The sequence below is a fragment of the Homo sapiens genome, chromosome 7 (genome assembly GCF_000001405.40).
Source record: "Homo sapiens chromosome 7, GRCh38.p14 Primary Assembly".
Lineage (NCBI taxonomy): Eukaryota > Metazoa > Chordata > Mammalia > Primates > Hominidae > Homo > Homo sapiens.
This window is the reverse complement of record NC_000007.14, coordinates 100,062,333-100,088,082: the sequence shown is the minus strand read 5'-3', so window position 1 is coordinate 100,088,082 and position 25,750 is coordinate 100,062,333. Positions and strand designations below refer to the sequence as shown.

The following is a 25,750-nucleotide window of genomic DNA, read 5'->3' as shown; positions in this document are numbered from 1 at the left end:
AATAATTAGGGGTGGAATCTGGTGTTGAGTTAGTTGCTCCATCTTGTGAAAGTTGCAGATACCAGGACAAAATCACATTGTCAGGTCCAAACAAATTGGAGCCATGAGAACACCAAGGAGAAGGTCTCATGCTTGCATGTCTGAGATAGGAATTATCTCAAGGACTTTCGAAAATAACCCCACAAGGCCAGGCATGGTGGCTCACACCTGTAATACCAGCATTTTGGGAGACCGAGGCCAGACAATCACTTGAGGTCAGCAGTTTGAGACGAGCCTAGCCAACATGGTGAAACCCCATCTCTACTAAAAATACAAAAATTAGCCAGGCGTGGTGGCAGGCGCCTGTAATCCCAGCTACTCAGGAGCCTGAGGCAGGAGAATTGCTTGAACCCGGGAGGTGGAAGCTGCAGTGAGCTGCGATCGCGCCACTGCACTCCAGCCCGGGCAAGACAAAGTGAGACTCCATCTCAAAAAAAAAAAAAAAAGAAAGAAAGAAAGAAAGAAAGAAGATAACTCCACAAGGCCAGGCATGGTGACTCACGCCTGTAATCCTAGCACTTTGGGAGGCCAAGGTTGGAGGATCACTTGAACCCAGGAGTTTGAGACCAGCCTTGGCAACATGGTGACACCTTGTTTCAACAAAACATGGAAACAAAATTCGCTGGGTATGGTAGAGGCATGCCGAGGAAATTTATGCTTGGGAAGTGAGTCAAAACTCCCTTCCTTTTTGTTCCCAGATAGCTGTAATTCCACAACCCTGTGTCATAGCCTCATACATAAGCCAGGCTCCTACAATGGCAAAAGGCATATACCTCCCCAGATGGTCTTCCTCACAAATTGCTTGCCAGGAAATTCCTCATTAGCCTCTGAATCTTTCAGCATAAACATTCCCCCTATAAACCAGCCCTAATCCGAGTTCTGTGAAATCTCATACTGACAATGTTGATTACAAGCTTATCTTCCCAATTATAGAACAAGGAAGAGACCAGGAATCATCCCTCCACCTATCCTGAGACAGATGCATAACTGACTTTTTCCTCCACTCCCTCTTTTCAAATGTTTATTGTATCTTACATAAAATGTAGATTTACTGAACACTAATGAGAAACTCACAAAAAAGTAACAATGTGCAGCAGGGTGTGCAGTGGCTCATGCCTGTAATCGCAGCACTTTGGGAAGCGAGTGGATCACTTGAGGCCAGGAGTTCAAGACCAGCCTGGCCAACATGGCAAAACCCCATCTTTACTAAAAATACAAAAATTAGCTGGGTGTGGTGGTGCCCACCTGTAATCTCAGCTACTTGGGAGGCTGAGGCAGGAGAATCACTTGAGCCTAGGAGGTGGAGATTGCAGTGAGCCGAGATGGACCCACTGGACTCCAGCCTGGGCAACAGATTGAGACTCTATTTCAAAAAATAAAATAAAATAACCATTTGCTGGACTGGGTGCAGTGGCTCACGCCTGTAATCCCAGCACTTTGGGAGGCCGAGGCAGGCAGATCACAAGGTCAAGAGATTGAGACTATCCTGGCTAACACTGTGAAACCCCGTCTCTACTAAAAATACAAAATATTAGCTGGGCATGGTGACACGCACCTGTAGTACCAGCTACTTGGGAGGCTGAGGCACAAGAATCGCTTGAACCTGGGAGGCAGCGGTTGCAGTGAGCCGAGATTGCGCCACTGCACTCCAGCCTGCTGACAGAGCGAGACACTGTCTTAAGAAAAACAAAACAAAACAAAACAAAAAACATTTGCCTCACTGCCTCTCCTTCTTCCTTATTTTCCTCTTGCATGCTTTCTTCCCTTAAATACTGAGTTCCTGGCCAGGCACAGTGGCTTATGCTTGTAATCTCAGCACTTTGGGAGGCCGAGGTGGGTGAATCACCTGAAGTCAGGAGTTCAAGACCAGCCTGGTCTCGACCAGTAGAGATGGTGAAACCCCATCTCTACTAAAAATACAAAAATTAGCCAGGCGTGGTGGTGCATGCCTGTAATCCCAGCTACTCGAGAGGCTGAGGGAGGAGAATCACTTGAACCCGGGAGGCGGAGGTTGCAGCGAGCCGAGATCACACCACCACACTCCAGCCTGGTTGACAAAGCAAGACTCTGTCTCATAAAAAAACCCAAAATTCACATCTGGCTAGCCTAGGCTGCTCCACCCCCTCCTTACCCCTAAACCTAAGCAAGTTGCACACACTGCTCCTCCTGCCACCCCTACAAAGAGGGGTACAGACACCTAGAAAGAGCCAGACATACTCTGGCTCTAGGTGTCTGTATCCCCACCCAAAGTGTAAGCTCCTAGAAAGCAGGTGAAGAACTGTGTTATGACCCTGAACAGCCCCATATGGTGATAGTTGTAATTTACAGGGGAATTATGCAATCTCTCCGTTTAGGAGCCTGGATGAAGGAAACTTGAAGGGGCCAGCAACCCTCAATGGAACGGACTTGAGAAATCCTGCAGGAAGAGGGGTCTTCTCGCCAAAGGGAAGTTAAAAAGGAATTTATTTTATTCTAGTCCCCAGTGATAAACCAACCAGGTCTGGACAAACTGAGAGGGTTGTCAAAGAAAAGTACCTAATGCCTTGTTTCTATTTGGAAAAACCAGGTCAGAAAAATGTATCTCTTTGGTGAGATGTTGGCTCACTGCAACCTCCACCTCCTGGGTTCAAGTGATTCTTGTGCCTCAGCCTCCCAAGTAGCTGAGATATCAGGCTTGCGCCACCACACCTGGCTCATTTTTGTATTTTTAGTAGAGATGGGTTTTCAGCATGTTGGCTAGTCAGTTCTCAGACTCCTGGCCTCAACCGATCCACCTGCCTCGGCCTCCTAAAGTGCTAGGATTACAGGTGTGAGCCACCGTGCCTGGCCAGAAAAATGTCTCTCTTTAAAGAATGCTAGGCAGCTTCCAAGGAGCATAGTGCTTCTCAGCTAGATAGAAGGCTAAAATAAAAACAAGATGAGAATTATTCTAGGGTTAGTAAAGTTGATCGTTTGCACTGCTCTCTCACACATTAAAGAACTCCTTTGCCTTGTTGTTTCAGGTGCTTTTGAAACATTGTTCAGATAATTATACAGCTCATAAAACAAGAGATTATTGTGGAATTTAAGGATGACTTTGACATTGAATCAGTTGATTGTGCGCATTTTAGAACTAAGTTTGCTAAACGTTTCTTTTTTTTTGTTTTTGTTTTGTTTTGTGTTTGTTATTGTTGTTTTTGAGACAGAGTCTTGCTCTGTCACCCAGGCTGGAGTGCAGTGTTACAATCACAATTCAGTGCAGCCTCAACCTCCTGAACTCAAGTGACTGTCCCATCTCAGCCTCCCAAGTAGCTGGGACTGCAAATGCGTGCCACCACGCCAGGCTAAATTTTGTATTTTTTGTAGAGATAGAGTTTCGCCATATTTGTTTGTCTCAAAACAAACAAACAAACAAACCAAAAAAATATCCCCACCCCAAAAACAAAAACGAACAAAAAGCAAGTGCTCCTTTTTGGTATGGGTCAGTGGTTATCTATTCACCTATCAGTCATTAATTTAACAAATATTTGGGAGTGCCTACCAGGCAGCAGGTACATCACTAAACAAAACGAAGTCCTGACCTCATGGAGCTTATACCCTAGTTGTAGGAAACAGACCATAAACATACTTCAGGATACGTATATATATACAGAGATGGAGTATCCCTCTGTCGCTCCCAGGCTGGAGTGCAGTGGTGCGATCTCGGCTCACTGCAACCTCCACCTCCCAGGTTCAAGCCATTCTGCCACCTCAGTCTCCCAAGTAGCTGGGATTACAGGTGCCTGCCACCACTCCCGGCTAATTTTTGTTTTTGTATTTTTAGTAGAGGCAGGGTTTCACCATGTTGGCCAGGCTGGTCTCAAACTCCTGACCTCAGGTGATCTATCTGCCTCGGCCTCCCAAAGTGCTGGGATTACAGGCGTGAAGCACTGCACCCGGCCAACAAATTGAATTTTAAAGATTGAGTTGGCTTTATTAGGGATTCATGAACTGGCAGCACCCAGTCTACAAAACAGAAAGGAAGCCAGGTGTGATGGTGCGTGCCTGTGGTCCCAGCTACTCTGGAAGCTGAGGAGGGAGGATCGCCTGAGTCCAGGAGGTTGAGGCTGTAGTGAGGTAGGATCGCGCCACTGCACTCCAGCCTGGGTGACAGAGTGAGACCCTGTCTCTAAAAAAAAAAAAAAAAAAAAGACTTCATATGTTGAAGAAGGCAGAGGAAAGCATGAACATGATGAGGTGCTTTCCTTCTATTGATGGCTATTGTGATACCTCATTTCTTATCTTCTTAGTTTAAAAGGATTTAAGGCTGGGTGCAGTGGCTCACACCTGTAATCCCAACACTTTGGGAGGCTGAGGTGGGCGGATCCCTTGAGCTCAGGAGTTTGAGACCAGTCTGGGCAACATGGTGAAAACCCTCTGTCTCTACAAAAAAGTAGCCGGGCGTGGTGGCATGCATCTGGGGTTCCAGCTACTTGGGAGGCTGAGGTGGGAGGATCACTTGACCTTGTGAGGTGGAGGTTGCAGTGAGCCGAAATCACAACACTGCACTCCAGCCTGGGTGACAGAGTAAGACCCCCGTCTCAAAAGAAAAAAAAAATTTAAACAAGAAACACACAGGAGGCCGGGCGCGGTGGCTCACACCTGTAACCCCAGCACTTTGGGAGATTGAGGCGGCAGATCATTTGAGGTAAGGAGTTCGAGACAAGCCTGACCAACATGGTGAAACCTTGTCTCTACTAAAAATACACACAAATTAGCCGGGTATGGTATCACACGCCTGTAGTCCCAGCTACTTGGGAGGCTGAGGCACGAGAATCAGCCTGGGTGACAAGAGTGAGACTCCCTCTCAACAACAACAACAACAAAAAAAAAAAAAAAAAAAGGAAAAAGAATAAAAGAAACACATGTCAAAGGAAATCCAGCATAGAGTAATTTATTGCAAAAGGAAAATAGTATTTTGAAAGTTAAGTGCAGAGTAGACAGTACACCCTGGGAGAGAGAGAGATAGAGAGAGAGTTAGTTCAGGGAGGGCTGCTCCTAAGGATGAAACAGCAAAGGCTGGCTCTAGAGAGACCCCCTTTGTAAGGGGTCTTACACGATTATTCATAAGGGGGTGGGAGAAGTGTTACTAGTAAGTATGTTCTGGGTGGTCCTCTAGGTGCACATGCGCAGTGGGTGTACAGGCTTGTTCATACATTGCATGTTTCATTAGCATCTTAAATTTCCACCCAGGGGCGTGTTTTTTACCAAGATAATGAGCAAAGGGTCAGTTTGAGGACAGGTGAAATCAAAATGCGCATGCTCCCTACAGGGGAAAGTCCCTACTGGAGAGCGCTCAGCTTGAATGAGCTCAATTACAATGCGAATGCTGGGGCTTACTGTGTTGACTGCGGTCACCACGGTTGCCGCGTCTCCAGGACACGGTCACTTCCTTGACTATCCCCGCCTCGCTTCCACCTGTAGCTTCCTTTTTTTTTTTTTTGAGACAGTCTCACTCTGTGGCCAGCCTGGAGTACAGTGGTGCGATGTCGGCTCACTGCAACCTCCGCCTCCTGGGTTCAAGCGATTCTCCTGTCTCAGCCTCCAGAGTAGCTGGGATTACAGGCGTCTGCCACCACGCCCGGGTAATTTTTTTGTATTTTTAGTCGAGACGGGGTTTCGCCATGTTGGCCAGGCTGGTCTCGAACTCCTGACCTCAGGTGATCCGCCCGCCTCGGCCTCCTAAAGTGCTGGGATTACAGGCGTGAGCCTCCGCGCCCGGCCGGTAAGCTTCCTCTTCTCTGCTCTCATCACCTGTACACGGGTTTTTTCCTCATGTCAACTCTGTGATGGACTGGAATGTTTTCTTCAGATGTGGGTAATTTAAAGGGGGCATTTTTACAAGAAACAAAAAAAACTCGGTTTGTTCGGAGGCAAGTTTTAAATCAGGGTTCATTTTTTAATATTGATGAATCCTTCAATAATTGTATGTTTACTGCTGCCCTTCGCGAGCCAGCCTGAGAAGCGCGGGCTCGACATCCCCGCGCGCCCCCGCCGCCCGCCCCCAAGGCCGGCGACGCTGGAGCACATGTCCTGAGGCCCAGGACCGTGGTCGGCCGCTTTCGCACATTCGTGGCCAGCAGAGGGCGCAGCCGGCCAGCCCCCGCAGCGAAAGATCCCCGAGTGCCGCGTCAGCGATCGCGCTCCTTGCCCTCGCCGCCTGCCAGCCGCCCTGAGTCAGCAAACCACAGAGAGGCGAGGACCTCCCATTTTCCTAGACAGAACAAGTGGGCGTTGGGGGTACGGGTGAGTGGCAAGAACAACCGACCCGGAAGCGAAACGAGGGGGAACTTCCGTTCTTTGTTCTGTCCCCGGTGTGTGGGTCTGTGACAGGGTCCAACAGGGCCTGGTCCGTGTCCGGTCCCCCAAATCTGTCGTCCCTGCCCCCAGGGTGAGTCCACGCGTCCCCGGGTCTCGCGGTGAGACGGAGGCTGTGGTCGCCGGGGAAGGGGGTGGTGTCTGTGCCACTGCGGCCCGCAGGGTCCCCCGGCCGGCCCGGAGCAGGGTTCGGGGAGGCGCCCCTCCGTCCCCTGCAGCCCGTCCTCTACTCCGCTTCCCCAGGGATCCCCCTAGCCTAGCGGGATCCTGCGTAGGGGTTAGTAATGGGGCTCCGGTTCTGGTTTTGTGACTTTAACGGCGACCCAGCTGGAGCGTTTAAAAGTTTCAGCAGAGCGGTAGGGGCGCCTCTCTCTTGAAAGCAGCTAATGACAGCGACCCTAACTTGGTATTTCTCCCAGACGTTTTTATTTGATGTTAACACAGTTATTCGCGCCCGTGGCAGGAGAGGAAGTTTATTTTTACGCAGCTGGGTCCAAGGATCAGAGAAATTCTGCTAAGCGTACGCAGTTAGCACGAGGGCTGGGAGTGGGTGCAGACGCCGATTCCAGGGGTAATCCTGCTGGAGCCCAGTGCATCGCGTGATACACCTGGCTCAGGCTCCGTTTTCAGTTGTATTAGATTCCTGGTTTGATCCTCTCTCCGGAAGTGGGATTGAATCCACATCGGTGTTTACACTCTGAAGGGCTTTTGTAAACTCCAGGAGAAGATAGCAGAGTGATGAACCTGAAACCGATGGGCTAATTAGAGGAACGAGCGTATTATTTTCTCCAGAAAAGACATCTGTGGAGAGTGGGCATCATTTGATTATACGTGTTTGATGGACAGTCGGGTGGAAGGAGAAGATTCTGTTATTGAAGCTCTTTTTTTAAAAAAATTAATTTTTATTTATTTTTGAGACTGTCTCTGGAGTGCAGTGGCGCGATCTCGGCTCACTGCAACCTCCGCCTCCCGGTTCAAGCGCTTCTCCTGCTTCAGCCTCCCGAGTGGTTGGGACTACAGGCGCCCGCCACCACCTCCGGCGAATTTTTTGTATTTTTAGTAGAGACGGGGTTCCGCCCTTTTGGCCAGGCTGGTCTGCAACTCCTGGCCTCAAGTGATCCACCTGCCTTGGCCTCCCAAAGTGTTGGGATTACAGGCGTTAGCCACCGCGCCCGGCCTTTTTTTTTTTTTTCCTTTTAAAATGTTTGTGTGTGTATTAAGGTCTTGCTCTGTTGCCCCCGGCTGGAGTGCCGTGGTGCCATCATGGCTCACCATAGCCTGGAACTCCTGGGCTCAAGTAATCCTCCCACCTCAGCCTCCTAAAGTGCTGGGGTTACAGGCGTGAGCCACTGCAGGTCGCCAGTCATTGAATTTCTGTGATGCACTAGGTCTCTGTGCGGTGAAGGTCCAAGGAGATAGATTTTCAGCGAATCACCTGAAGACTTCTAATGGCTCAGCTGTGCAATGTGGATCCCCTGCTGAAGTAGTTCGGAGCACAGTGTCTAGCAAGTTAGCTGACAGAACGTTAGAACTTTCTTACCCTGGGTGGAGGTGGACCTGAGAACCTACCATTCCCTTTCATCTCTCCACGGGTGCAACGCAAATACTAGTTGTGGTGGTGGTCTTAATTGGTATTTATTAGCATATAATAAGTATTCTCTTTTTTTTCCTTTTCTTTAAATGTCTTGATTAGAAATGAAGTTTAGGCTGGACTCGGTGGCTCATGCCTGTAATCCCAGCACTTTGGGAGGCTGAGGTGGGAGAATCACTTGAGGCCAGGAGATTGAGACCAGCCTGAGCAACACAGTGAGGCTGCATTTCTACAAAAAGAATTTTAAAAAACTCAGCCAGATGTGGCAGTGCACACCTTTAGTCCCAGCTCCTTGGGAGGCTGAGCTGGGAGGATCACTTGAACTTAGGAGTTTGAGTCTGGAGTGAGCTCAAACTCACTGCACTCCAGCCTGAGCAGCAGAGTCAGACCCTGTCTCATGGAAAAAAAAAGACGTTTGCATGAATATTTTAAATTCCTTTTTTTCCCCTTAATCACACAGCATTGGCATCAACAAAAGTCAGAATTCCCGGGAACTTGAACAGAGGCTGCTAAATTCCCAGTAATTGCTCCTTTGGCCTTCTAGGGACTGACTTCAAAGAAGGAAGGAAAGAATCAGGCAGGTAAAGCTTTCCGTGTCTTGTTCTTACTGCCAGGCCATCTATCTCGGTCCCCACGGGCAGCACCAGGGAGTGAGGCTGGCAACAGAGCAGGGGAAGGGCCCTGTCTGGACCTGAAGCCATGGGGGCACAATGGAGAGTTTTCTTTCTGTGAGAAACGCTGTTTACTGATCTGGACACTGGGTGCTTGTTCTCAACAATATGCCTTTGAGTTCCAGCTTCACTTAACCCAGCTGTGAGAGGGAGCTGTTGCCTTTTTCTCTGGAGTCAGACCTTTGACCTGCCTTTCTAGGAGTTTGTACTGAAAGCTGACTTGTTGAGGGCGTCAGCTCATAAATAGCTCCGGAGATTGTAAAGGTGGTTGATAAGAGGATATGATGGTTGGCTCTGAGACACCATTGAAGGGACCCTGCTAGGAGGGCGATGGTGGCAAGAAGGTGTGTCACCTTGATTGCCAGTGGCCTGGCTTGTGCCTGAGTCAGTGCTTTCCACTGTGTAAGGGCTCTGGTATTGGACATTCTATATCCCCTGCTACCCGAAGACCAGAGTTGCCCAAACTTGCGACTGACTTTCAAACAGGACCCCTCTTCCTTTGTTCTTTTTTTTTCTTTTATTCTCTCAAACATTCTCTTATCCATTCCTCTTCCTTTGATGCCTTATGTGAGTGTAACAGTCTGTAATTATGAAGCACATACTTTTTGCATTCCCGATTTTTTTACTCCTTGCAGTTGTGAGTGGCAATAGAGTTAGCCCTCAGCAAACATTTGCTATGTGAGCAAATGAGTAAAGAGATAATGAGAGGTAGATCAAATCCAGGGTTGGTTGGTTTGTTTTGTTTTGTTTTGTTTTGTTTGAGACAGAGTCTCACTGTTGCCCAGGCTGGAGTACAATGGTGCGATCTTGGGTCACTGCCACCTCTGCCTCCCGGGTTCAAGCGATTCTCCTGCCTCAGCCTCCCAAGTAGCTGGGATTACAGGCGCATGTAACACCATGCCCAGCTAATTTTTGTATTTTTTCTTTTCTTTTTCTTTTTTTTTTTTTTTGAGGCAGAGTCTCTGTCTATTGCCCAGACTGGAGTGCAGTGGCGTGATCTCGGCTCACTGCAACCTCCACCTCCTGGGATCAAGTGATTCTCCTGCTTCAGCTTCCTGAGTAGCTGGGATTACAGGCACACACCACCATGCCCAGCTAATTTTTTGTATTTTTAGTAGAGATGGGGTTTCATCATCCTGGCCAGGCTGGTCTCGAACTCCTGACCTCGTGATTTGCCTGCCTCAGCCTCCCAAAGTGCTGGGATTACAGGCATGAGCCACCGTGCCCAGCCTGGGAGTAGTCTTTTTATGCCAGTGAATGTATATACCCGCTCCTGCATTTTGTTATAAATATTACTCAAAGTGATGGGGGCAGCCAAAGGCGGGATATTGTTGAGGAACTTGGGCCCTTTTTGTGGTCCTTGTGATAGTCTCATTTCAGGGAGTATATTTACCAGGATCTAAAAGACTAGTCTGAGGCTGGGCATGGTGGCTCACACCTGTAATCCTAGCACTTGGGGAGGCTGGGGTGGGCGGATCACCTGAGATCAGGAGTTTGAGACCAGCCTGGCTGACATGGTGAAATCCCACCTCTACTAAAAATACAAAAATTAGCCAGGCATGGTGGTGCGTGCCTGTAATCCCAGCTACTTGGGAGGCTAAGGCAGGAGAATCGCTTGAACCCGGGAGGCAGAGGTGGCAGTGAGATGAGATTGCGCCATTGCACTCCAGCCTGGGTGACAAGAGTGAAATTCCGTCTTAAAAAAAATAAAGAAAATTTAAAAATACCGGGCGCGGTGGCTCACGCCTGTAATCCCAGCTCTCAGGGAGGCAACAGGTGGGAGGATAGCTTGAGCCCAGGAGTTCCAGACCTGCCTGGGCAATATAGCGAGACCCTGTTCTCCACAAAAAGGAAAAAAAAAATTAAAAAATAAAAGAAAATAAAAGACTAGTCCCAGTTGCCACATTTCTTCTCACTGTTCCTGGGTACTCACTGAAATACTAGCTCCCATCTTTCTGTATTCAGGAGGTTTTTTTGAATTATCTTTGAACCTTGAACTTTTGCTTCTGCAGTGCTTCCTCATTCTCTTTTAAAACCCGCTTCCCGCTGAGTCTGCACCCAGGAGACCAGAGAGCACCTTGCCCTTCCATGGAAACTCAGGCTGATCTCGTATCTCAGGAACCTCAGGCCCTGCTTGACAGTGGTGAGGAATAAGGACTCATTCATTCTTTTACTCAGTCATTCTGCAATCATCCATTGAAATCGCTCACTTACCAGGTACTAGGCTAACTACTAGAATCCAGATGTGAATAAGACACACTCTTCGCCATTCAGTAACTCACAGCCTAGTGGGGAAGCTGACCGAACAGTAATCAATGACAGCTTGATAGGTTTGATAATTGAGGCAGATTGTTTTGTTTTGTTTTGTTTTTTTTGAGATGGAGTCTTGCTCTGTTGCTCAGGCTAGAGTGCAGTGGCACAATCTCGGCTCACTGCAACCTCCGCCTCCTGGGTTCAAGTGATTCTCCTGCCTCAGCCTCCCATGTAGCTGGGACTGCAGGCGCCCGTCACCATGCCCGGCTAATTTTTGTAGAGACGGGGTTTTGCCATGTTGGTCAGGCTGGTCTTAAACTCCTGACCTCAGTGCCCACCTTGGCCTCCCAAAGTGTTGAAATTACAGGCATGACCCACCGCGCCTGGCCACTGAGGCAGTTTTGAGGGGTTGTGAGTACCTCACGCGAGATTAATGAAACCGTGTCAATCATTCCATTTCTCGGGCATTCTATGCAGCCGACTTCATAGGCATAGTTTGTGCTTTTTAGGAGCATGCTTTTAGAGGAGGCGCTTCGGAATCATTTTATGGGTCATAGACAAAAAGACAGAGTGAATAGGAAGCCACTAAAGTATACTTTGCGGCCGAGCGCGGTGGCTCACTTCTGTAATCCCAGCACTTAGGGAGGCTGAGGCGGGCAGATCACAAGGTCAGGAAATTGAGACCATCTTGGCCAACACAGTGAAACCGCATCTCTACTAAAAATACAAAAAATTAGCCGGGCATGGTGGCACGCACCTGTAGTCCCAGCTCCTCCAGAGGCTGAGGCAGGAGAATTGCTTGAACCCGGGAGGTGGAGGTTGCAGTGAGCCGAGATCACGCCACTGCACTCCAGCCTGGGTGACAGAGTGAGACGCCACCTCAAAAAGAAAAAAAAAAAAGAATTGCAGAAAAAGGTAAGAGATTCAACACAGAAACAGGGAACATTTTTAGTGTACAGATTTGATCTGGGGTGGAGAGAAAGGAGCTGTGGGCATTGTGTTTCCAGTCAGGGCTGGGGTGAAGCTGCTGGTTTTTCTCTGGTCTAAGAACTTCATGCTGGGTGCAGTGGCACACGACTGTAATCCCAGCTATTTGGGAGGCTGAGGCAGGAGGATCACTTGAGCCCAGGAGTTTGAGACCAGCCTGGGCAACATAGCAAAACCCACCTCAAAAAAAAAAAAAATAGAACTTCATGCAAGAGCGGGATCATATGTTTCTGGCCAAGCTTGGGTGAATGGACAAGAATGCAGTAATCACTAAGATAGGACTGGGCGGTTTCATTGAGAGAAGAGTGACTGGAGAGAAGAGGGGACCTGGGACAGACTGGAGACTAAGAATGACCAGGCCTGTGGCCATCTGCTCAGGCAGGATGGACTCGCTCTGAGTTTGCCTTTGTTGGACACACTGTAGCTAGCTGCAGAGGAAGCAAACTTAGAAATGTGAGAGAGAGGGTCCTGTGTTGTCCCAGGACCCCGGGAGCTTTCTGTGGGTTGGGAAGTCAGCAGGTTGGGAGGTCACAGAGCAGATGGACTCATTCCTGGGCCCTTTTATTGCCCTTCAGCTCTTCCTTCAAAAGTTCCTGCCTTTTCCGACAAGGACAGCCTGGGGGATGAGATGTTGGCGGCTGCGCTCCTAAAGGCCAAGTCCCAGGTGAGCTGTGGTTCCGTTTATCCTTTTCCTTTCCATTTTCTGTGCAATGACATCCCATTCAGAGCTTTAAACCCTGATCTCCTCCATCAGGCCCATGGTTCTGTCCTGCTGAATCATGGACCCTCACCTTCTATCTTGGACTCCTGTCTCTCTTCCTCCACCCTGTCCTCCCTTCCTCCCTTCCCAAATGTGCATTTTTCACCCCATCCTCAGTGATTTTTTTGGTGCCGCCATTCACATTCCTCACCCTGAAATTGCATGCCAGCACGTGTTGTTTCAGGAGCTGGTAACCTTTGAGGATGTAGCTGTGTACTTCATCCGGAAGGAGTGGAAGCGTTTGGAACCTGCTCAGAGGGACCTCTATAGAGATGTGATGCTGGAGAATTACGGGAATGTGTTCTCACTGGGTAAGGAGTTATGCCTTGTCAACAAAACTCGCTGGTGTTTCTTTGCTTCTTCGTTTGCTAGTAACAATCTAGTCACTGAAAAGAGCTGTTTCAGCAGATTTTTTTTTTGAGGTGCAATGGCACAATCTTTGCTCAGTGCAACATCCATCTCCCAGATTCAAGTGTTCCCAGGTTCTCACCTCTGCCTCCCAAGTAGCTGGGACTACAGGCACGCACCACCACACCAGGCTAATTTTTGTATTTGTTTTGTTTTTTTTTGTTTTAGTAGAGACGGGGTTTCACCATGTTGGCCAGGCTGGTCTCAAACTCCTGACCTCAAGTGATCCACCCGTCTTGGCCTCCCAAAGTGCTGGGATTATAGGCATGAGCCACTGCACCTGGCCTAGGTAAGGATTGACTTAGTCTTAGGAAACTGTAAGAACAATAATCTTAACTCATTTATACAGCAGTCTGCAACTTATAAAGAGTTCTCATATATATTCTTTCATTTAATCTTCACAGTAACACATTAATTGAGGCAGCTAGTATTATTCCTCATTTTACAGGTAAGGAAAGTGAAAGTAGTCCAGGCGAGGTGGCTCACACCTGTAATCCCAACACTCTGAGAAGCTGAGGCAGGAGGATCACTTGAGGTCAAGAGTTCAAGACCAGCTTGGGCAACATGGCGAGACCCTGTCTCTACCAAATATCCAAAAAATTAGCCAGGCATGGTGGCACATGCCTGTAGTCCCAGCTACTTGGGAGGCTGAGGTTGGAGGATCACTTGAGCCTGGGAAGCCGAGGTTGCAGTGAGCCGAGATGGCATTACTGCAGTCCAGCCTGGGTGACACAGACCCTGTCTCAAAAAATAAATAAGTAAATAAAGTGGAGGTGAGAGTAGCGGTCTCAATGTCTTGTGCATGCATGGTCATCAGTTGGGCTGATGAGTGGCAAAACTTGGGGCCCAGTCTTTAACTCCAAATCTGGTACCTTTTTTTTTTGAGATGGAGTTTCACTCTTGTTGCCAGGCTGGAGTGCAATAGCGTGGTCTCGGCTCACCGCAACCTCTGCGTCCTGCGTTCAAGCAATTCTCCTGCCACAGCCTCCTGAGTAGCTGTGATGATAGGCATGCGTCACCACACCCAGCTAATTTTGTATTTTTAGTAGAGACGGAGTTTTTCCATGTTGGTCAGGCTGGTCTCGAACTCCTGACCTCAGGTGATCCACCTGCCTCGGCCTCCCAAAGTGCTGAGATTACAGGCATGAGCCACCGCGCCTGGCCAAATCTGATACTTTTTCCGTGTTATTCTCAGGACTTAATATATAATCCAGAGACTTTTCCGAAGGATTATCCCTGAACACATGAGGTGCTGCTCTTTGCCCACGTCTCTGTCCTCTCCTTCTCTGCTTCTCTGCTCCCCTTCTCTAACTTCTAGGGACCTGTTGCTTTGTTCAGGACCTAGTGCCCCTGCTGCTCTGTAGAAACTTAGAAAGGTTAAGAAATTAGGCCAGGCGCGGTGGCTCATGCCTGTAATCCCAGCACTTTGGGAGACTGAGGCGGGCAGATACTGAGGTCAGGAGTTTGAGACCAGCCTGGCCAACATGTTGAAACGCCATCTCTACTAAAAATACAAAAAAAATTAGCTGGGGGTGGTGGCATGTGCCTGTAATCCCAGCTACTTGGGAGGCTGAGGCAGGAGAATTGCTTGAACCTGGGAGGTGGAGGTTGCAGTTAGCCAAGAACACGCCACTGCACTCCATCCTGGGCGATAGAGTGAGACCTTGTCTCAAAAACAAAAACAAAAAAAGAAAGATTAATAAATTAGTTTCTCAACTTTTAGGATGTAGAATTCCTTGTCTCTCACCCCACTCTTAGTGGGCATTTTCCTGAGCAGAGCCAGGACGTCTTCCTAACTCTCATTTGAGACCTTCCTGTACATTTCCCTTCTGTCCCCGGCAGATCTGGGGTCTGGAATTGAGCTCTGGGACTCTCAGGGTGAGCAGATAAACCTCCTTGTCCCATGTCTCTCCCCATGAGCAGAATTCCCATTTCTGAATCCTGCCACCATCTCTCTGCTAGAATGAGAGGAAGAGCCAAGGGGCCTGGGTTTCAAAGGAACTGAGAGCAGAGAGGTCCTAAGAGGTACCTCTTCAGGTGAAGGAGAAACAGCCGTTCCCGTCCCTAACACACATTACCCTGTCTTTACTTTTTAAAATATCAATTAAGCTAAAAACGCAAACTCTCTGGACCCTTTACATTTATCCTCTGTGCCCAGAGTTGGCTTTAGAAACTCAAAAGGAGTGAAAACAGAGACGTCAGACACTGAGATTCTTTGCATAGCCTTACGTGCGAGCATAGCCTTTTATGCATAGGGCCCAGAGGCGGACTCAGTTGTCTTGCCGTTTCCATGGGCTTGGCATTTGTGGCGTGACGACAGCCATGATTGCTCTTCTTATGGGGCCATGGCAGCCACTAGCATCCTCCCCCTTGCTTGTTCCCGCGCTGCTGCTGTCTCTCCTCACCCTTCCCCCCTTTTCTCACCAACTGTCCTGTACTTGCTCTCCCTTCTTGCAGTCACTGTGTCCCCAGTTATATCCACTGCCCTGACCTCTCTAAAGGCTTTGTCACTTCATTAAGCAATATGACCTTCCTCTTCTAAAGTTGGTTCCCTGCCTCTCTGCCTGATCCGTCCTCCCCTCCACACACACTCAGCTTTCTTTCCACTTCCAGCTCTGTTCTCCTTGGTTTTGCTCTGCCCTGCCCCTTCCCTGTCTCCTTAGCCCGGCTGTCTCATTTTGCCTTAGCCGCACACATGTGGGGCAGGCCTCTTTGTAGGCATGTGCTTTTGGCACTGTAAGTATTCGTTACAATGATCCTGTCCTGTGATTTTCACTCTTTCTTCCCTAAGGAACAAGTGACATTTGCATTTTTTATTGTGTCAGATCGTGAGACCAGGACTGAAAATGATCAAGAAATTTCTGAAGACACAAGATCACATGGGGTCCTACTGGGAAGATTTCAAAAGGATATTTCTCAGGGTCTCAAGTTTAAAGAAGCCTATGAACGAGAAGTCAGTCTGAAAAGGCCGCTGGGGAACTCCCCTGGAGAAAGACTGAACAGGAAAATGCCAGATTTTGGTCAAGTGACAGTTGAGGAGAAGCTAACCCCCAGGGGAGAGAGAAGCGAGAAATATAATGATTTTGGGAACAGCTTCACTGTGAATTCCAACCTTATCTCACATCAGAGACTCCCCGTGGGAGACAGACCCCATAAGTGTGATGAATGTAGCAAGAGCTTTAATCGAACTTCAGACCTTATTCAACATCAGAGAATCCACACTGGGGAAAAGCCCTATGAATGTAATGAGTGTGGGAAGGCCTTCAGCCAGAGCTCACACCTTATTCAGCATCAGAGAATCCACACTGGGGAAAAACCTTATGAATGTAGTGATTGTGGGAAAACCTTCAGCTGTAGCTCTGCCCTCATTCTGCATCGGAGGATCCACACGGGGGAGAAACCCTATGAATGTAATGAGTGTGGGAAGACCTTCAGCTGGAGCTCCACCCTCACCCACCATCAGAGAATCCACACTGGTGAGAAACCCTACGCCTGCAATGAATGTGGGAAGGCCTTCAGCAGGAGCTCAACCCTTATTCACCATCAGAGAATCCACACTGGAGAAAAACCCTATGAATGTAATGAATGTGGGAAAGCCTTCAGCCAGAGCTCACACCTCTATCAGCACCAGAGAATCCACACTGGAGAGAAGCCCTACGAATGTATGGAATGTGGAGGAAAGTTTACCTACAGTTCAGGCCTTATTCAGCATCAAAGAATCCACACCGGGGAGAACCCCTATGAATGTAGTGAGTGTGGGAAAGCCTTCAGGTACAGCTCGGCTCTTGTTCGCCATCAGAGAATTCACACTGGAGAGAAGCCTTTGAATGGGATCGGCATGAGCAAAAGCTCCCTCAGAGTTACGACCGAGTTAAATATCAGAGAGTCCACGTGAAAGAGCCACACACCCATTTTCCTCACTTTCCCTGAGTCTCAAGAGCTCTTGCCTTACCCTATAAATCTCAACAGCTTAGGATGTGTCCCTTTCAACTCAGACTTTTCATTTTAGAGAATGGGGCAGATGGGGCAAATCGTTGAATTTTCCCAGAAATCACACCAGCCTTAGAAAGCGTCAAGGCAAGTGGATGGCGTGCTGGGAATAGAAAGCAGCTCTGGGACCAGTTACCCCATTTAGGAAAGGAGTTTGCACTAAACTGTTTTTCTCACAGCAGAGGAACCTTTCCAAGGTGGGGATGGAAGCACAGTCGGGACAGAATTCGATGGATTCCTTTAGTTGGAGTCCGCGTAGTCAGCACAGACAGCAGTGGAAAGGACGCTCTGGGTCCTGTTATTTGCTAGGGAGGGTAAAGGGAGACTATTTCAAAGCTACTGTTCCTAGTCCAGCTTTAAGTTTCGGTAAGAAACATGCTGTTTTGTTTCATGATTTCGTTAATTATGGAAATTTGGCATTGAGGGATTATTTTATTGAGGGTAGAAGAGATTCCAGAATCATCATCTGTGATGATGGTGTCCTTTAGGGCTCTTGGAGCAGCCAGACCATGTTTCCAAGAGAAACCTGGTGATATTGCCAGCAGACCCCCTGCCATCCCCCCCAGTTGTCCTGGGGCTGAATGGGCAAATCTGTCCAAACAGCTAGTAACCGGCTGTGAGGGAGAGGGTCAGAAGCACTTAGCGTTGGCCTCTGATTGCTGTCCTCTCTTGTCCTCTTCCCACTCCAATGATGAAAATGATTTTCTCTAAATGCCTGGGTAAGGATGCTTTCAAGGAGCTCACTTGGCCTGCTTGCCCTGCCCTCTCACCTCTGACACCCAGCCCCAGGAGCCAGACCACTCCTGCCTCCACCTCTGACTCTTCAGCAGCTGAAGATTAATGCAGAGAAAGAGCAAAGCCCAAAAGGGAGAAAAAAAAAACAAAAAAACAAAAAAACGAAGCCCAGAGAAGGCAGGCTGTGCCTGAGCCTGGTAGCAGAGCTCGTTGCTGGGTGAGGATGGCACTCCCCGAGTTTTCCCAACCGACGGGATGACCTTCCATTGTGTTTTCCCAACCCTGCTCATCCTGTAGCATAAATGAAGTGCACTATTAAACAGAATAGTTTTTCAGAAGAGATTGAGTGTGGTTTTGTGCAATGTTTGGACCATATATTTCAGTTAAAACAAGACATGTTGGCTGGGTGCAGTGGCTCATGCCTGTAATCCCAGCACTCTGGGAGGCCAAGGCAGGCAGATCACCTGAGGTCTGGAGTTCTAGACCAGCCTGACCAACATGGAGAAACCCCGTCTCTACTAAAAACACAAAATTAGCCGGGCATGGTGGCACATGCCTATAATCCTAGCTACTCAGGAGGCTGAGCCAGGAGAACTACTTGAACCCGGGAGGCGCAGGTTGTGGTGAGCTGAGATCGCGCCATTGAACTCCAGCCTGGGCAAGAAAAGCGAAACTCCATCTCAAAAAAAAAAGACAAGACATGTTGGTAACTATAAATGGAATTTGAAAGTTGACTTAATTTTTTTTTTTTTTTTTTTTTTGAGACAGAGTCTAGCACTGTTGCTCAGGCAGGAATGCAGTGGCACCATCTTGGCTCACTGCTGCCTCTGCCTCCCGGGTTCAAGCACTTCCCGTGCCTCAGTCTCTAGAGTAGCTGGGACTACAGGTGTGCACCACCACGCCCCAGCTAATTTTTGTATTTTTAGTAGAGATGGGGTTTCACCATGTTGCCCAGGCTGGTCTTAAACTGAGCTCTAGCAATCTGCCGGCCTCAGCCTCAAAGTGCTGGGATTATAGGCGTGAGCCACCATGCCTGGCCCTAAAATTTCTTTATAGGCTAGGTACAGTGGCTCATGCTTATAATCCCAACACTTAGGGAGGCCAAGGCAGTAGAATCTCTTCAGACCAGCCTAGGCAACGTGGCAAGACCCTATCTCTACAACAAAATTAAAAAAAAAAAATTAGGGCTGAGCGCAGTGGCTCACAGTTGTAATCCTAGCACTTTGGGAGGCCGAGGTGGGCGGATCACAAGGTCAGGAGTTCGAGACCAGCCTGACCAACATGGTGAAATGCTCTCTCTCCTAAAAAAAAAAAAATTATATATATATATCAGCCAGGTGTGGTGGCACGTGCCTGTAATCCCAGCTACTCAGGAGACTGAGGGAGGAGAATCGCTTAAATGCAGGTGGCAGTGGTTGCGGTGAACCAAGATTGCTCCATTGTACTCCAGCCTGGGCAACAGAGTGAGACTCCATCTCAAAAAAAAAATTAGCTGGGTGTGGTGGTGCACACTTGTGGTCCCAGCTACTCGGGAGGCTGAGGTGAGAGGACTGCTTGAGCCTAGGAAGTTGAGCCTGCAGTGAGCCCCTGTGATTGCACCACCACACGATAACAGAGCAAGACAGTCTCAAAAATGAAATGAAATTACTTTATAGATTGCCATTTTTTTTTTTTGAGATGGAGTCTTGCTCTTGCCCAGGCTGGAGTGCAGTGGACCAATCTCGGCTCACTGCAACCTCAGCCTCACTAGTATCTGAGATTACAGGCGCCCACCACCACGCCCAGCTAACTTTTGTATTTTTAATAGACAACGGGATTTCACCATGTTGGCCAGGCTGGTCTTGAACTCCTGACCTCATGATCTGCCTGCCTCGGCCTCCGAAAGTGCTGGGATTACAAGCATGTGCCACTACGCCCAGCCTATGCAAATAAATTTTAAATCTGTGTTCTCATGGCTGTAATCCCAGCACTTTGGGAGGCCAAGGCGGGCGGATCACGAGGTGAGAGTTTGAGACTAGCCTGGCCAACACGGTAAAACTCTGTCTCTACTAAAAATAGAAAAATTAGGCTTGGTGGCACATGCCTGTAATCCCAGCTACTCGGGAGGCTGAGGCAGGAGAATCACTTGAACCCAGGAGGCAGAGGTTGCAGTGAGCTGAGATAATGCTGCTGCACTCCAGCCTGGGTGACAGAGCGAGACTGTCTCGAAGAAGAAGAAAAAAACCTGCCCATGTCCTGATGGCTCTCCCAAGCCTCAGTCGTGGGTCTCCAGTGGACTGCAGAGCAGTTACACCTGGACTTTCTACAGTTTCATAGTATGTTTCAAACCAGATCCCACTTTCCCATTTATTGCCCCCTCTTAAAATTTCTGTAAACCTGTCAGGATCAAAATTTTGTAAGTTTTCTTTGATTATACTCCTCATCCTCCTCCATCTAACCAGCATCAAGCCTGGGCAGGTTCAGTAAAGATGGAGTGGAATGATACTGTTTTCAGAGTTGAGATTGTAGAGGAGATGGGATTTGCAAGTGATGGTAGCAGTAGCTGATACATGGCATATACTCTGTGTCAGCGTTGCCTGGCTCTTTTCCGAGTGGTTTTCATGTATTAATCAGCTGGGTGCAGTGGCTCACGCCTGTAATCTCAGCACTCTGGGAGGGTAAGGCAGGAGAATCGCTTGAACTCAGGAGTTCAAGCCCAGCCTGGGCAACATAGTGAGACCCAGTCTCTACAAAAATAAAAATTAGCTGGGCGTGGTGGCACACATCTGTAGTCCCAGCTACTCAGGAAGCTGAGATGGGAGGACTGCTTGAGCCCAGGAGTTGGAAACTAGCCTAGGCAATATAATGAGACCCCTGTCTCTCTGAAAAGAAAAAAATCCAATACTTGGCGAGGAATGATGGCCTACAGTAAATGAGGTAGAGCTGCTAAAATGATGAGCAGAGAAAGGGTGTCAGCAGACTCAGCGTGTGTTAAAATGAATTTCTTACACGAGATCTGAGAACCAAACACCTATGTTATCTCGGAAGGCCCAAATAGCTTCCCGTTCACTCAGACAATAAAGGATGAAGTGAGGGGAGCACCGGGATTGTTCAGTGACAGCTGCCTCAGCAGGGTTAATAGTAGGAGATTCTGCCACAGAACAGAGTTCCCTGTTATTAATGGGATGACTGGTCAACAGAGGCCAGGCGGCAGCACTGAGCTATCACAGGCAAAGTGGACACAATTACCATGATGGGCAACCAGGCCAGAGTGGCAACTAGGGTGATTTTTTTTTGAGATGGAATCTTGACACTCTGTCACCCAGGCTAGAGTGCAATGGCATAATCTCGGCTCACTGCAACCTCTGCCTCCTAGGTTGAAGCAATTCTCCTGCCTTAGCCTCCTGAGTAGCTGGGACTACAGGCGCACGCCACCACACCTGGCTAATTTTTGCATTTTTAGTAGAGACAGGGTCTCACCATGTTGGCCAGGCTGGTCTCAAACTCCTGATTTCAGGTGATCCACCTGCCTCAACCTCCCAAAGTGTTGGGATTACAGGCGTGAGCCACCACACCCGGCCTATTTATTTATTGTTTGAGATGGAGTCTCACTGTGTTGCCCAGGCTGGAGTGCAGTGGCGTGATCTCGGCTCACTGCAACCTCCACCTCCCAGGTTCATGCCATTCTCCTGCCTCAGCCTCCGGAGTAGCTGGGACTACAGGTGCCCGCCACCACGCCCAGCTAATTTTTTTTTTTTTGTATTTTTAGTAAAGATGGGGTTTCACCTTGTTAGCCAGGATGGTCTCAATCTCCTGACCTCGTGATCCGCCCACCTCGGCCTCCCAAGTGCTGGGATTAGAGGCGTGAGCCACCACGCTCGGCCTTATTTTTGTTTAAATTAAATATGAATTTAAAAAACAAGAGAGATGGGATCTCACTATGTTGCCCAGGCTGGTCTCGAACTCCTGGGCTCAAACGATCCTTCTGCATCAGCCTCCCAAAGTGCTGGGATTATAGGCATGAGCCACTGTGCACAGCCCACTAGGGTGTCTTGACCCACAGAGAACTGTGGCATTGACTAATAACCCTTGGTGTTCTTAACAAAAACTTTCAGCCAACAGGATAAGGCTTTGATTTGTATAAACAAAAAATCCCAAGAGTTGATGAGAAGGCTGATACCGGCTGTTACAATGGGAAATTGCAATCCTGCTGCTGCTTTCCAGATCTGAGCCAGTTCTGAGATCTGGAATCCATCAAGTTAAGGGGAGTCTGGGTTTCTTTGAAGACCTTCCAACTGTACCACGAGTATTATGCAATAAATATTTCCCCAAAGGACCTGTGGCTGTTCACTAGAGTAACGTACTAAGAAAACAGAATGCCCAGGCCTTTTGAGGCTTTTTGATACAGGATCTAGTATGACACGGATCTAAAACTTACCATTGCCCTCCAGACACAGGTCAGCTGATAAATGGAGTCCTGGCCCAAATCCATCTCAGTGGGCCCAGTGGGAACAGACTCACCCTATGGCCATGTCCCTGAGAAGATAATTGGGATATGTTTAGCAGGGGGACAGATGCCCAGCACATTGTTTACTTAACCTGTAGCTTAGGTCATAGGCAGAAGGGTCAAGTGGAAACTCCTGCACACCCTGCCCTTCCCCAGCCAATCAAAGTGGCAAGAAACAATACCACACCCTGAATGGAACTGAAGTGATTATTGCTGCCCTCAAAGACGCAAAAGACACTCTTTCTGTATGGCTTCTGTAAAAAACCGACGAGTTGTGGCTGATAATGGTTGTTTGCCACAAACTCATCCACAACAGCTGTGCCGGCACAGTTCAACATGGCCCCTGGCTCTTGGTATGCAGTTATTATCTAGTGAAAGCATTCGCTTTATTTTTTTTTTTTTTGAGACAGAGTCTCGTTCTGTCACCCAGGCTGGAGTGCAGTGGCGCAATGTTGGCTCACTGCAACCTCTGCCTCCCGGGTTCAAGCGATTCTCCCACCTCAGCCTCCCGAGTGGCTTGGACTACAGGCACCCGCCACTATGCTCAGCTAATTGTATCTTTAGTAGAGACAGTGTTTCGCCATTTTGGCCAGACTGGTCTCGAACTCCTGACCTGAGGTGATCGACCGCCTCAGGCTTCCAAGGTGCTGGGATTACAGGCGTAAGCCACCGTGCCTGACCCCCAAATCCAAATTTTCTAAAAGCTAAACCAGTAGGAATAGTTTTCTCCATCTGTAAGTATTCAATAACCAACACATCATTTGTTATAATAATAGTCCTGAGGCATTACAAGATGTTATAAGTTTATTCTGAATCTCATTCAATTGTGTTCAATGTGGCTCAATTCTTTACAAATTAAAATTCTTGAATATATGTTAAAAATTAAACAATCTTAATGTTTCTTCCTTAACTAGACTGGATACACGTCTGTTTAACTACGCAAAAGGTAATGCTGGCATGGCTTACTGGGACCCTAAGTGTGGCGAAGGGACTCTGCTCCAGTGAACTGGCGAGTGTGGAACCTCCTGACACCTTCTGAGGACCTCCTGCCTGCCATGTTGCTGTGGAGCTCGCACTCCTCAGGCATCCCCTGATGTTGAGTGATACAAACTCTATCACCGGAATCGATGCTGCTGCAATGACAAGACTTCTTTCTGGTTTTCAGATTCTAAAGTTTAAAACAACGACAACAACAGGAGCGCTTGAAAGTTACGGTGCTTCTCCCTCTCCAGTGTGGACTCGCTGATGTTTGGAAAGATTGGACTTGCTACAGAAGGTCTTTCCACAGTGATGACACCAGTAGGGCTTTTCCCCGGTGTGGATTCTGTGGTGTTTATTGAAGTTGGAGCTGTGGTTGAAGGCTTTCCCACACTCCTTACACTTATATGGCTTCTCTCCGGTGTGGAGTCTCTGGTGGGAGCTGAGGCCCGCATGCTGACTGAAGCTCTTCCCACATTCGTTACACTGATAAGGCTTCTCCCCAGTGTGGATCCGATAGTGACGAATGAGGCTGCCTTTCCCGCTGAAAGCCTTGCCACAATCTTTGCACTGATATGGCGCCTCTTCTGTGTGCATTCTCTGATGTTTAAGAAGGTCTGAGCTCTGCCCAAAAGCTTTTCCACACTTACAGTCATAGGGCCGGTCCACCAAGTGTGTTCTGTAGTGGAGGGTGAGGTTTGAGCTGTGGCTGAAAGCTTTCCCACACTTGGTGCACACGTAAGGTTTCTCCCCAGTGTGTGTTCTCCTGTGTTTGGTGAGATTTGAGCTATTACTAAAGGCTTTGCCACATTCAGCACATATATAACGTCTCTCTCCTGGGGTAGGTTTAGTAGGAACTGATTCTCTACCTTTCTTGGAGCCTGCCTCTTGAAGAGGGGGTTTTGTTCCTTTTTCATTTTCAAGGTTTACGCACTGCCTCTCTAAGCTGGCCTCAGGTTTATTGGCGATAATCACAGAAATTATATCCCCTTTGAGCCCCTCTGCTTCAGAACCTTTCTGCTCATCTGCTGATTCCTCGTGCTGGGTACTCAATCTGCAATCTGAAACAATAAGCAGATTAAGGATACTTCAGTTGTTTCTTGTTCTGAGGAAGAAACTGTTACCAGAGAGATAGAACCATCAGGTGAGACTGATGGTTTCTGAAGGGTGACTAAACAGAGCTCATGATAGCGCATAGATACAAGTAAATCAGCATCCAATCTAGTTTACAATACTGCACTTCTTTTTTTTTTTGAGATGGAGTCTCGCTGTCAGCAGGCTGGAATGCAGGTGACCTCAGCTCACTGCAACCTCCAACTCCCTGATTCAAGCGATTCTCCTGCCTCAGCCTCCAGAGTAGCTGGAATTACAGGCACGTGCCACCACACCCAGCTATTTTTTGTATTTTTTTTTAGTAGAGATGGGGTTTCAACATGCTGGCCAGGATGGTCTTGATCTCCTGACCTCAGGTGATCCGCCTGCCTCAGCCTCCCAGAGTGCTGGGATTATAGGCATGAGCCACCAGGCCTGGCCTCCATACCACACTTTCACACAATTCCCCACCCGAAGCTATTAAGATGTGAAGAGAACGTGGCTTTTTCTGCCAGAAAAACAGCTTCACATACAGAAGGCAAAATGCAGCATATGAGAGTGGTAGCCGGGCACAGCGGCTCACGCCTGTAATCCCAGCACTTTGGGAGCTGAGGCGGGAGGATGGCTTGAGTCTGGGAGTTCAAGACCAGCTTGGGCAACATAGGGAGACCCCATTTCTACAAAAAGTTAAAATAAAAAAATTAGGTGGGCATGGTGTGCCCCTGTGGTCCCAGCTACTTGGGAGACTGAATAAGAGGATCACTTAAGCCTGGAAGGTCAAGGCTGCAATGGGTCAAGACTGCAGTGAGCCATGATTGTGCTGGCCTGGGCAACAGAGTGAGACCCTATCTTTAAAAAAATATTTATTTTATTTATTTATTTTGAGACGGAGTCTCATTCTGTTGCCCAGGCTGGAGTGCAGTGGTATCATCTTGGCTCACCGCAGTCTCCGCTCCTGGGTTCAAGTGATTCTCCTGACTCAGCCTCCCGAAGAGCTGGGACTAGAAGCACCTGGCACCACGCCCAGCTAATTTTTGTATTTTTAATAGAGATGGGGTTTCACCATGTTGGCTAGGCTGGTCTCAAACTCCTGACATCAGGTGATCCACGTGCTGGGATTACAGGCGTGAGCCACCGTGCCCAGATGTTTTTTTTTTTTTTGAGATGGAGTTTTGCTCCTGTTGTCCAGGCTGGAGTGCAATGGTTCAATCTCAGCTCACCGCAACCTCTGCCTCCCAGGTTCAAGCGATTCTCCTGCCTCAGCCTCCCGAGTAGCTGAGATTACAGGCATGTGCCACCATGCCCGGCTTATTTTGTATTTTTAGTAGAGACAGGGTTTCTCCATGTTCTAGACCATAGGCTGGTCTAGAACTCCTGACCTCAGGTGATCTGCCCGCCTCAGCCTCCCGAAGTGCTGGGATTAC

General features: G+C 48.4%; 2 protein-coding genes across 37 annotated transcripts in view, besides 5 other annotated features; one reads left to right on the top strand and one right to left on the bottom strand.

Annotated features, from left to right (window-relative positions):
• Positions 301-994: an enhancer, noted in NCBI's record as "H3K27ac hESC enhancer chr7:99684712-99685405 (GRCh37/hg19 assembly coordinates)". NCBI's record gives its function as "activates a minimal SCP1, AML or CMV promoter by ChIP-STARR-seq in primed H9 embryonic stem cells {active_cell/tissue: H9 hESC(primed)}" and the evidence as "EXISTENCE:reporter gene assay evidence [ECO:0000049][PMID:30033119]".
• Positions 5,134-6,115: an enhancer, noted in NCBI's record as "OCT4-NANOG-H3K27ac-H3K4me1 hESC enhancer chr7:99679591-99680572 (GRCh37/hg19 assembly coordinates)". NCBI's record gives its function as "activates a minimal SCP1, AML or CMV promoter by ChIP-STARR-seq in naive and primed H9 embryonic stem cells {active_cell/tissue: H9 hESC(naive and primed)}" and the evidence as "EXISTENCE:reporter gene assay evidence [ECO:0000049][PMID:30033119]".
• On the top strand, positions 5,506-24,246 carry ZNF3 (zinc finger protein 3). 29 transcript variants are annotated; one of them, XM_047420802.1, is made up of 6 exons: positions 5,506-5,782; positions 8,427-8,547; positions 10,650-10,780; positions 12,453-12,541; positions 12,822-12,948; positions 23,171-24,246. In XM_047420802.1, the coding sequence occupies exons 3-6, from the start codon at positions 10,726-10,728 to the stop codon at positions 23,293-23,295; spliced, it is 396 nt and encodes a 131-aa protein (XP_047276758.1). In that variant the 5' UTR covers positions 5,506-5,782; positions 8,427-8,547; positions 10,650-10,725; the 3' UTR covers positions 23,296-24,246. The 29 variants fall into 29 exon arrangements, with proteins under 29 accessions (XP_047276758.1, NP_001265216.1, NP_001358140.1 ...); NM_001278287.2 differs by lacking the exon at positions 23,171-24,246 and adding an exon at positions 15,871-18,110 and having other exon boundaries at positions 8,511-8,547; NM_001371211.1 differs by lacking the exon at positions 23,171-24,246 and adding an exon at positions 15,871-18,110 and having other exon boundaries at positions 8,427-8,543.
• Positions 5,952-6,031: a silencer, noted in NCBI's record as "silent region_18413". NCBI's record gives its function as "represses an Ori minimal core promoter by ATAC-STARR-seq in GM12878 lymphoblastoid cells {active_cell/tissue: GM12878}" and the evidence as "EXISTENCE:reporter gene assay evidence [ECO:0000049][PMID:35858748]".
• Positions 6,272-6,421: an enhancer, noted in NCBI's record as "active region_26334". NCBI's record gives its function as "activates an Ori minimal core promoter by ATAC-STARR-seq in GM12878 lymphoblastoid cells {active_cell/tissue: GM12878}" and the evidence as "EXISTENCE:reporter gene assay evidence [ECO:0000049][PMID:35858748]".
• Positions 21,903-22,197: a silencer, noted in NCBI's record as "tiled region #7718; HepG2 Repressive non-DNase unmatched - State 14:Gen5'". NCBI's record gives its function as "represses a minimal TATA promoter and a strong SV40 promoter by Sharpr-MPRA in HepG2 cells {active_cell/tissue: HepG2}" and the evidence as "EXISTENCE:reporter gene assay evidence [ECO:0000049][PMID:27701403]".
• ZSCAN21 (zinc finger and SCAN domain containing 21) overlaps positions 23,043-25,750 on the bottom strand; it is a 15,267-nt gene continuing 12,559 nt past the window's right edge. For 6 of the 8 annotated variants that reach the window (XM_005250568.5, XM_047420806.1, XM_006716113.4 and 3 more), the window contains one exon: positions 23,043-24,295. In XM_005250568.5, coding sequence (XP_005250625.1) covers positions 23,466-24,295 — 830 coding nt within the window. In that variant the 3' untranslated portion in view covers positions 23,043-23,465. The remainder of the gene's footprint in view (positions 24,296-25,750) is intronic. The other 2 variants (XM_047420807.1, NM_001362781.2) reach the window with 1 other exon arrangement.

Excerpts from the sequence above, each read along its gene's own strand:
- ZNF3 (NM_001371217.1), top strand. The coding sequence starts at position 12,657 with ATGGACCCTCACCTTCTATCTTGGACTCCTGTCTCTCTTCCTCCACCC. Across the intron at positions 12,949-15,870 it reads CGGGAATGTGTTCTCACTGG|ATCGTGAGACCAGGACTGAA; the intron begins GTAAGGAGTTAT and ends TTATTGTGTCAG.